Source organism: Homo sapiens, chromosome 3, assembly GCF_000001405.40.
Source record: "Homo sapiens chromosome 3, GRCh38.p14 Primary Assembly".
NCBI classification, from domain to species: Eukaryota; Metazoa; Chordata; class Mammalia; order Primates; family Hominidae; genus Homo; species Homo sapiens.
Window position 1 is genome coordinate 88,159,603 of NC_000003.12, and position 12,152 is coordinate 88,171,754.

Sequence of the window (12,152 nt, forward strand, 5' to 3'; positions counted from 1 at the left end):
CCAGCTACTCGGAGGCTGAGGCAGGAGAATGGCGTGAACCTGGGAGGTGGAGATTGCAGTGAGCTGAGATTGCACCACTGCACTGCAGCCTGGGTGACGGAGCGAGACTCTGTCTCAAAAAAAAAAAAAAAAAAAAAAAAGAAATGGTAATAGTGTCTGAAAAAAGATTTAAAAAACAGTGGCTTAGAAAAAAGTAAAAAACTGCGTTTTAACAAAATAGGTTATACGGCTAAGTAGATCATAAAAATGAATGCACATCCCACTGTAATGTTATCCTTAGGATATCTCTGTTTTTACAAACTTAGATGACCTTTTCTTCACTGCTTCATTTGGGTTGTGGAAGTTGGTCATACAAGTTGAGTGTTGTGTTCTTACTCATGAAAAATGTTTGCATGAATTTTTAGAGTTTTTACATATTTCATTGAGTCAGTGGGTTTCACTAAAACAGCTGTGTGTCTTATTCTCCATGTCTGGAAAATCCTGCCGTAATAATTACATTTACCCCAGACGACTACTCTACTGTGTTAAAAAGTGAAAATATTTATAAAAGATTTTGTGGTATTTTTAAGTCCTTAAGTTAGAGGACTAAACCTTTTTTATGAATGAAAGGATAATCTCTAGGAAATGTTAGTTTATGATAGTTTGTAACTTGTGAATTTTGGTTTCCAGACATGGAGACAAAACCAACCAAAATACTGTCAAGTGGAACGTAAAAATATTAATTCAGAATTCATTTTATTTTGGCAAGATAAATTTAATGAAGAATAATTAACATGCTTTGGAGAAAGTGATAAAAACATGAAAAAAAAATTTAGAAATGATTCTCCAGACCTTTACAAAAACTTTTCCTAAGAAATTATTTAGAAATAATTGTATATTGCTAATTCTGATGAAAGATTTTGAAAACAGGAACATTTCTTCTTTACAAAACTTTTCCTAAGAAAAGACTTTTACAAAAACTTTTCCTAAGAAATTATTTAGAAATAATTTTATATTGCTAATTCTGATGAAGGATTTTGAAAACAGGAACATTTCTTCTTCCGGGCCTATCTATGTATGTGATCTCACCTTATACCTCTTCTTCCTGCCTCTCCTCTCACCCCCAAAATCCTATTCATAACCTTTGTTATTTACCCAGTTTTGATGCAGATAGCACAGCGTCCATGCTAGGAAACAACACTTTCTGGATTGGGATTCTCTTCAAGTTTATTTGGCATATATTTATTGGGCATCTGTTGGTAAGTCACTGAATCAAGTGCAAGACAAAATACATCAGTAGATTATTTACATAAACTTACATTGGATTCAGATCTCAGTCTCTGGGTTTAAGTTTTCTTAAGGTGGAAACTTCTTTAGGCCCTTTGTCAAAGGATTCAGATCCTTTTATATGGTCTGGAAAAATTTTTAATTGAAATTTTAAATAACCATATGACTCTAGCTAAGACATATAGATTTTTTTTTTTTTTTTTTTTTGAGACGGAGTCTTGCTCTGTCACCCAGGCTGGAGTGCAGTGGCGCGATCTCTGCTCACTGCAAGCTCCGCCTCCCGGGTTCACGCCATTCTCCTGCCTCAGCCTGCTGAGTAGCTGGGACTACAGGCGCCCGCCACCACGCCTGGCTAATTTTTTGTATTTTTTTAAGTAGAGACGGGGTTTCACCGTGCTAGCCAGGATGGTCTCGACCTCCTGACCTCGTGATCCGCCCGCCTCGGACTCCCAAAGTGCTGGGATTACAGGCGTGAGCCACCACGCCCTGCCTTTTTTTTTTTTTTTTTTTTTTGAGACGGAGTCTCGCTCTGTCACCCAGGCTGGAGTGCAGTGGCACAATCTCGGCTCACTACAACCTCTGTCTCCCGGGTTCAAGTGATTCTTCTGCCTCAGGCTCCCGAGTAGCTGGGTCTACAGGTGCGTGCCGCCATGCCTGGCTAATTTTTTTTGTATTTTTAATAGAGACGGGGTTTCACCGTGTTAGCCAGGATGGTCTCGATTTCCTGACCTCGTGTTCTGCCCGCCTTGGCCTCCCAAATTTCTGGGATTACAGGTGTGAGCCACCATGCCTGGCGCCATATAGATTTTATCAATACAAAATACAGGATATTTTGACAGGCCACTTTATTTAGAATTGGAAACAAAAGTTTCCAAATTGTTTGAATGTGCTAAATGCTTTTAGCTTTATTTTTCTAGTCTGAACCTTTCCAGTAGCCTTTCAGTAAGATGTAAATATTGAAATTAAATGTAATATTTACTGTGGTATATAAAACCAGAAACTCCAGAACTACTTGTGTTAGTCATGAAATCACTGGCCTAGAGTTTGGTAGCTTCTAACTTCTATTGCCAGTACTGCTAAATCTTCTTTTTTTTTCTTTTTCTTTTTTTTTTGTGAGTCATTTGGTGAGGCTCTTGATCAGTAATTTTCATCTTCAGTTTGTAGATATCTTAAGTCTCAGGTGTGCAATTAGTTATACTTGAATTAATAAATTTAAGGATTGAAGGAAAAATCACCCACTGCCAGCTGTTACTTGTCTGATTCAGTGTTTTCTGAAAAAAAAAAAAAAAAAAAAAAAAAACCAGGAAAGCCTTTTCCTTAAAACATTTAGTTTATAAGTTTGCATCTTTTCCATGTCTCATCTTTTACTATACTAATTAGTATCACACTTAATTCTCAAATTGTTACATGTAAGTTACCTTTGCCTCCCTAAATTGTAAATTATTAGAACCGGTGATTCTTACTTATTTTGCAGTCTTCTTTTTCCCAGTGCCTTGCACAGGATAAGTCAAATTTGGGGTGCTTATTACATGCCAGTTACTATTCCATATACATTGCATGTATTTACTCATTCAATCTTGTGAGCAGCTACATGAGATAGATGCGATTATCCCTCTTTTACCTGAAAACAGGATTGAATAACTTCCTAGGCTATCAAAGTATGCGATAAATACTGTGACTACACTATATTTCCTCATATGTAGTAGGGTTTTGAGGAATACTTTTTGACTGATTATCTTCAATGTGAAGGTTTTCATTTGCTGGCATTTATTTCCAAAACAAAGATTCCTTTAATCTATATTGCTTGTCTAAATGCAGAGTAGGAGTATTATTTCATATTGTATTCTACTTGTAATTATATCTCGAATTGCTTATTTAGTGATTTATAACATCTTGGAGAAAAATACAGAATATTCATGTAAAACAATATTTCATAAAGATAATTGGGTAACATATGTAACAATTTATATCAAATCTCTTGAACTCACCACAATCTCTAGTCTTTTTCCCCTCCTGTTTATGACACCATTGTGCTTTTAGTGTCAGAGACAGTCTTTGTTTCATATGTTCAATTTCTTGCCACATCTGGATGTAGCGTATCTGTAGTGTTTTCTGTTTCTGCTGCTGCTGTTAGGTTCTCTTTACCTAACCTTTCACTAATTTTAATCTTATTTCTCTGCTTTAATATTTGTTGCCTATTTATGACATTAAAATTTTCTTAAAGTACAACTTTCATGTGCAGAACTTTCAGTGGTGTTGCATTACCTCCAAAATAAAATCCAGATTTCATAATCTGCCATTCATCGCCACCTAGTTTGATCCACTCACTTTCACACATTGTTTGGTACAATCATCTACTAAGTAGGCTTTCTCTTTATCCTGTACTTACTTAGACCTCTGTTTTATGCCCACGTATCCAAACTTAATTTTTGGCCAGGCGCAGTGGCTATCTCCTATAATCCCAGCACTTTGGGAGGCCGAGGCGGGCGGATCACAAGGTCAGGAGTTCAAGACCAGCCTGGCCAACATGGTGAAACCCCGTCTCTACAAAAACAAAAATTAACTGGGCGTGGTGGCATGTTCCTGAAGTCCCAGCTACTCTGTAGGCTGAGGCAGGAGAATTGCTTGAACTGGCACCCAGGAGGCAGAGGTTGCAGTGAGCTGAGATCGTGCCATTGCACTCCAGCCGGGGCTACAGAGTGAGACTCAGTCTCAAAAAAAAAAAAAAAAATATTTATTTTTATTTTTTATTACAGGCAGTTGGATAATATATTGTAGAAAGAAAAGAACTATGATTCAAACAGTTTAATAATGAAATTTCTTCAATAAATCAAGCATTATTCCTCTGCAGGAGTTTTGTGTACATTGTCTAGAATAATCTTTCCCAAGCTTTTTGCATGGCTGCTTCATTTTCACCTTTGAGGCTGCCTGCCTTTTATCTTGGATTAAATGTATTCTCTTATCTAAATTCTCAGTATTTATCAGAGCACCTTGTTTGTTTGAGTCTAGCACTTTAGATATTATTTGGTAATTTACTAATTTATTATGTATCTCCCCCAGTAAATTTTAAGCTGAGAACAGGGACTGTAACTGTTTTACTCACATTATATTTGTATTGCTTTGCACAGAGACTAGATATTAAATATTTATTAAAGATAGAAATAAGGAAGTGATGCTACTTTGTATTCAAAGCTTTATATATTCCTAGACCTTTGCTTATCTGTTAAAAACAAGACCTAGCATATAACATATATTAGATGCTCAGTAAATATGTTTAATGAATAAAACCAAAGTTATCTTCTGGAATCATAATACATGAGTTCTAATACACCCTGGTAGATAGAATTATCTAGTTCTTATACTTTTATTTGTTGTTGAGATGGAGTTTCACTCTTGTTGCCCAGGCTGGAGTGCAGTGACACGACCTCAGCTCACTCCTGGGTTCAAGTGATTCTCCTGCCTCAGCCTCCCGAGTAGCTGGGATTACAGGCGCCCACCACAACGCCCGGCTAATTTTTTGTATTTTTAGTAGAGATGGGGTTTCAACATATTGGCCAGGCTGGTCTTGAACTCCTGATCTCAGGTGTTTCACCCGCCTCGGCCTCCCAAAGTGCTGGGATCACAGGCGTGAGCCACCACGCCTGTCCTAGTTCTTATACTTTTTTTTTTTTTTTTTGAGACCAAGTCACGCTCTGTCACCCAGGCTGGAGTGCAGTAGTGTGATCTCGGCTCACTGCAAGCTCTGCCTCCCAGGTCCGCGCCATTCTCCTGCCTCAGCCTTCCGAGTAGCTGGGACTACAGGCGCCTGCCACCATGCCCGGCTAATTTTTTCTATTTTTTAGTAGAGATGGGGTTTCGCCATCTTAGCCAGGATGGTCTCGATCTCCTGACCTCGTGATCTGCCCGCTCAGCTTCCCAAAGTGCTAGGATCACAGGCCTGAGCCACCACGCCTGGCCCCTAGTTCTTATACTTTTATGAAAGACAAAGAAGGTGAAGTGCTCCCCTGACCCCCCAACCCCGAAAAAAGCTTAGTAACATGCTGAAGGTCACATAGTTTTGTTGTGGTGACCTGGCCTGTTTTGTTTTTAACAGCAAAGCCCATGTGTTTTTCTTGCACTTTGTTTACCGTCTGACTACTGCCATTTCCTTAATTTCAAAGATTTTCAACTTGAATCCTCAATTTCTTCACATGAAAAAATGGACCATCTAGATTAGATGGTTTCTAAGGTCTGCTGTGATTTTAAAGTTATGTAGCATTGTGGCTGTATGTCTTCACAGCAGTTCAAGAATATTGCTTTTAAAGGAATTTGTAGTTCTTTGTTGGGAAAATTTTCTATTATTTTGCTTCCTCATAAGTGATGCTCATCTTTTCAAAGAAATACATATACATTTTTAAGTGTATGTATGAGTAGTATGTGTATTTCTGTCTACAAAATTATAAAATGATGAAACTATTCTGTCATACCTAGAATATAAAAGGGAAAAAAGTGTGAATTCTTTAAATATTTTTCTATGTCCTAATCACTGGAAGTCCTATAGTTGTTTCAAACTGTTCTGTAAAATTTGTCTTGTTGCTTATGTTCAAAATATATTTCCATGTTTTAGTGAAGAAAAGTACAAAGTGGCTTGACAGAAAGTGAAATTAAGACTGCTGGTAATCCTTTGAAGAGACTTAGTAATAGGAGTTGGCAAATATTTAAGAGTGGCATTGGAGACAAATGGCAGATTCAGGATAGGCTGTTTCTGTAGGAAGCATGGTTCTGGATGAGTGCTGCTCATAAAGTCATTGAAAGTTATTCCAGATAGTTTAATAGAAGTGTTTGTTTAGCAAAGACAACAGATTTTGCTATTTTGACTGCATTGATTGTATTAGTTCAGATTTATGAAAGAAAGAGCCCGGAATACAGAAATAAGATAACAATAGAAAATTTAAGCATGTCAAGAACTCTAATGCTGGAATTGTCACAGCAACCACAAAATTACTGGGCATCAATAGACTCCTAAGAATTAAGAGAAATTGCAGAATGTAAGCCATAATTGTCATTTTAGGAACATTATGCTAGAGCACAAGTTTAGGATTGGGCAAAAGAGTTGATTTTTAAGATTGCATTGGTGTTCTCTCTCTCTCTTTTTTTTTTTTTTTTGGAGACGGATTCTTGTTCCGTCACCCAGGCTGGAGTGCAGTGGCACAAGCTCGGCTCACTGCAACCTCCGCCTCCCAGGATCAAGCGATTCTCCTGCCTCAGCCTCCTGAGTAGCTGGGATTACAGGCATGCTCCACCATGCCCGGCTAATTTTTGTATTTTTAGTAGAGACAGGGTTTCACCATGTTGGCCAGGCTGGTCTCAAACTCCTGACCTTGTGATCCACCCGCCTTGGCCTCCCAGAGTGCTGTGATTACAGCTGTGAGCCTCCGTGCCCAGGCCAGTGTTCTCTCTTAAATGTGTTTCAATATGGTGGACATTTATTGAGCACTTGTGTTGGGCGTTTCAACAGGAGGCACTGGTACGAAAAGTAGCTTGTTCTAGTTCATATATCATTTGCACTTTGCTTAACTTGTATAAGTACTTTTTACTGTTTAATAAATATTTTATTAGAAAATACTTCTCTGATCTCTCATTGATGCCCTTCTTACTATTTTAACCATTGTCATCTTTGGACATCTGTCTGAATTGTGGGTAAGACCTTAACCTTTGGAGTAGAGAGCAATGCTGCTTACAAAATAATGATTGTTGGTAGTCTGTTCAACAGATTTGCAATTTCAAAAAGAAAAAAATGCAACTTTTTCCCACATCTTTCACATATATTTTGCAAATCTTATGCACATAATTCACATATTTTGCACATTTTAAATGTAAGATGATTTGCATGACAATCCCCTTAAGTTTTTAAGTGTTAGTTTATTGTAGATGCTTATGTACACAGTGAAGACTGTAGGTCAGTTTTAACCTCAGCCAACATGAGGTTAACCGGATGTTCACCTTACTAATGTTCTTTCGTATTAATTTTAATGCTTGTTAAATTTACATTTTATATTTGATACTCATTTTCCCAATTCACAAAATTGGCTTATTGAAAAATGATGAAAATAGTAACAAATATCATTCGTAAAAATGCTCCAATGGAAATAACTTCAGTGTGAATACAGAATGAGAAAATGTATGTGCTTTTGGCCGGGCACGTGGCTCACACCTGTAATCCCAGCACTTGGGGAGGCCTAGGTGAGTGGATCACCTAAGGTCAGGAGTTCAAGATCAGCCTGGCCAATATGGTGAAAACCCATCTCTACTAAAAATACGAAAATTAGTCAGGCATGGTGGCAGTCTCCTGTAGTCCCAGCTATTGGGGAGGCTGAGGCAGGAGAATCTCTTGAACCCGGAGGGCGGAGATTGCAGTGAGCAGAGATTGCGCCACTGCACTCCAGCGTGAGCAACAGAGTGAGACTCTGTCTCGCAAAAAAAAAAAAAAAAAGTATGTGCTTTAGAAGAGATTCTGTGTGTATGATGTTTTCAGACATCAGCTGATACAGATAAGGAAGGATAATGACTATCTGAACTTATTTTTTTTTGGCCTGCATTCCATTCACCATTGGTCAGTACATTGCCTGTCAAATATCTACATGTCACCATCAAAGTTATCACATCATTTTTAAAGTACATTAATTTCTCTGGTAATGCATTTAGTTAGGTAATTACTTCACGTCTCAGTTTAAAATTTGTCATGCAATATTATGGATGAATCCAAAATTACAGAAACATCACCCAGAGTTGTATTCCTTTAAACAAAGTACAAAATAAGACATTGTTGCTGAGAAGCTTGTAAAAAGTGTTAGCAGTAATAACAAATATAATCAGGGGGAACAAATGCTATTGGAAAAGTATTGTTGATAAATTACATAATTCAGTGACAATGTGGAAGAACAATTCCTATGATTTGCCTTCTAGATGGTATTATTCAGACAAAACCACTGCTGTACAGTGTATGAATCATATGATGTGTGTTACATATATCAGTGAGAAGTCCGTAAAAACTTACTCTGTTTATCCCTGGAAACCTTTGAATATAGACAATGAGGCTATGCTGGGAAGTAAGTTTTGATGTGGACTAGAAAGGGTGAATCATGACTTTTAATGCTGGAGCACCAGCTATTTGAGCAGTAGCGAAGGTGATTGTAAATGAAAGGACTATACAAGAAAGCCAATCAACACATCCCTTTCTTAAAACACAGCAGTTAATTATCAACCGTAAACCATTCTAATGGTGATTTAGTGTTGAAGGGGCTAGAAAACACAAATTTTGATCTCTTGAGTCCAGTTTTATAATGCCATATGAAAAACTGGACAGGAAGTTACAAAACTTCTTCCTACAATACTGCCTATATAGAGGAAAAGTATTCACGTGAAATTTTTGAGATAAGGACATAAATTTAAAACATTTCCTTGAGATGGTGTTAATGTTAGTAAAGGGCTTTTCCTTGATTGTAGATACCTTGCGCAAGTGGCCTATCAGCTAATCCAGTGTCTTGAAGAGCCATCACTCCAAGTCTTACGTGAATTTTAGTGGCAAAGAGATCTGATTATTTTAAGATTACACAACTCTCGTGCAAAGGCTCAGTCTTATAGAGCTTCATTTTTTCCCCCATCGTCTCATTATTTTTGCTTACCACAGAAACATAAGGTATGTGGGGGCTTATTTAAAACTGTATCTAAATACAGCATAAAAACAATATAATAACATGAAAGAATGCTTCCCTGAGTTGAATGCAAAGGACAGATTGGGAACCCATTTAACATCATCTACAGGTAGATTTTTTGGTGACCTGAGTGAAAAGTTTATTTTGAGAGAAAGTATGTAACCAAAAAAAAAAAAAAGGTACATGTGGATCAGTGAAAACAAGAATGTAAACCACATGTTTATTCTTAGAATAGCAGAAGAGTGGCAAGCTTCCTTTTTTGTTTTTTTGTTTGTTGTTGTTGTTTTGAGACGGAGTCTCACTCTTCTGCCCAGGCTGGAGTGAAGGGGCACGATCTCGTCTCACTGCAACCTCCACCCACTGGGTTCAAGTGATTCTCCTGCCTCAGCCTCCCAAGTAGCTGGGATTACAGGCGCCTGCCACCATGCCCAGCTAATTTTTTTTTTTTTTTTTTTGTATTTTTAGTAGAAATTGGGTTTTGCCATGTTGGCCAGGCTGGTCTCAAACTCCTGACCTCAGGTGATCCACTCGCCTCAGCCTCCCAAAGTGCTAGGATTACAGGCATGAGCCACTGCGCCTGGTGCAAACTTCCTTTCTTTATGAATATATTACTGTAATATAGAACAACATTGTAGGAAAAGTAAAGCTGCTCGTTTACCATTTTTATAAAGGTTCAAGCAAGTTGTACACTAAAAGCTTAATGCTGACCTGACTTTATATTTTATATGACTTCTTTAAAAAACAAACAAACAATAATCACCTTTTTACACAAGCAATTGAACTGGAATTGTGTACTTCTGCTTTTTAGAAACCATTCGGCCGGGCGAGGTGGCTCACGCCTGTAATCCCAACACTTTGGGAGGCCGAGGCTGGTGGATCACAAGGTCAGGAGATCTAGACCATCCTGGCTAACATGGTGACACCCTGTTTGTACTAAAAATACAAAAAAAATTAGCCGGGCGTGGTGGCGGGCGCCTGTAGTCCCAGCTACTCGGGAGGCTGAGGCAGGAGAATGGCGTGAACCTGGGAGGCGGAGCTTGCAGTAAGCCAAGATCGCGCCACTGCACTCCAGCCTGGGTGACGGAATGAGACTCCATCTCAAAAAAAAAAAAAAAGAAACCATTCAGTGCCCCATATTTTGTGTCTTTTCATCACTACTGTGCTATGGCAATTTAGTCAGTGATCACTGTCTCCTTTTACTTTCCACCCAAACAAGAATCCGTTTGAAACATTTTCAGTACTGGAATAAAAAAAATTTTTTTAAATATTTTATTTTGTTTACTTTCTATGAATTACAATTGCTAACATTTTTTAAATGCCATGTCATCTGTCAGTGGTCAGTCTTCTAGAAGTGTGTAAAGACATGTTTTTGCACAATATATTTTGGGAGAAGGGGAGATTTTCATCAAATAATGTTTGTATTTTTTGTATTCACTATCATAATTAGTAAATGTATAAATATGTTATATTTCTTCTATACCTAAATTGAGATGGCTTGCTGCAATGTCTTTCTTCATTTTATAGGTTAGTCTTTCTGAGGCTGACACTTTTGAAGCTCTTGGACTTGCACATTAGGGAAAGTCCCAAGAGATGTACACAAATACCTTTAAAATAGCCTTCTGGACTCGATTGTTAGATTTCGCAGAGTAATGGTGAAGTTAAAGAGATTAACATGTTTTTCCATTAAATGTATTTTTCTTTTTATAAGTTCATATTTAAGAGCATTCAGAGTGTTTTCAGAAAATTCTGTATAGTGCAAATTTTAATAATAACTATGACTGTTTAAAAAATTACTATTTGTAGCTGGGTGTGGTGGCTCACACCTGTAATCCCAGCACTTTGGGAGGCTGGGGGGTGGGGGGGGGGTGGATCATGAGGTCAGGAGTTCGAGACCAGCCTGGCCAACATGGTGAAACCCCGTCTCTACTAAAGATACAAAAAATTATCTGGCATGGTGGCAGGCGCCTGTAATCCCAGCTACTCGGGAGGCTGAGGCAGGAGAATTGCTTGAACCCGGGAGGTGGAGGTTGCAATGAGCTGAGATCGCGCCAGTGAACTCCAGCCTGGGTGACTGGGCGAGACTCAGTCTCAAAAAAAAAAAAAAAATTACTATTTGCAGATGTGAGAATGTACGTATATATATACACATGTACACACGCATACACACACACATATATATTTTGAATTTTGTGCTATGTGCATATATTATCTGGTCAGAACAGATACAGGTATAAACAAATAATGAAGGCAGTTGTTAGTGTATAATCAACCTTACCCAATGAGAGGTCTGACCTTTGCCCCTAGCTCTAGGCTCTTGTAATGTTCTGCAACATAAGAGTGTCACTCCTCAGGGCTTTGGCTGTGGGACAGTCTAACAATGTGATTTATGATAGGTTTTGGGCTGTGCCATATCAATTTTTACCTACCTCCAGAGGAACTTGAGTTCAAAGCTATTAGCCCAACTTCTGGGAGGAACTGTAGACTAAAGTTCAGCCACACAAACAATAAATAGGTGATCAAGCCCTAATAAAAACTCTGAACACCAAAGGCTGGGATAAGTATTGTCCCACATTGTGACTGGAAAGAGATAAAGCCATCTATGACTCCATGGGAGAGGGACTGGAAGCTCCACATTGGACCCCTGCTAGACTCTGTCCTATATTCCTGTGATGCTTAATTTTAGGAGTCAACTTGACTGGATTCAGGGATACCCAGATAGCTGGTGAAGCATTATTTCTCGGTATGTTTGTAAGGGTGTTTCCAGAAGAGACTGGCATTTGAATCAGTGGACTGAGTATGGAAGATCTACCCTGATGTAATGTGGGCAGGCACCATCCAATTGTCTGAGGGCCTGGATAGATCAAAAAGGCAGAAGAAAGGCAATTTGCTCACTTTGTCTCATCTGGAGTTGAGACACCCAGCTTCTCTTGCTCTTGGACATCAGAACTCCAAGTTCTCCAGCCTTTTGGCATCAGGATGTGCACTAGTGCCCCTTGGTTCTCAGGCTTTTTGGATTTGAACCAAGCCATGCTACCAACTTCCCTCATTCTCCAGGTTGGGACTTCTCAGCCTCCATAATCATGTAAGCTAATTCCTCTAACAAATCCTCTGCCATATTTATCTATCATTTATCTATCCTATTGGTGGTCCTGTTTCTCTGAAGAATCCTAATACCAGGAGTGATTCTAGAGG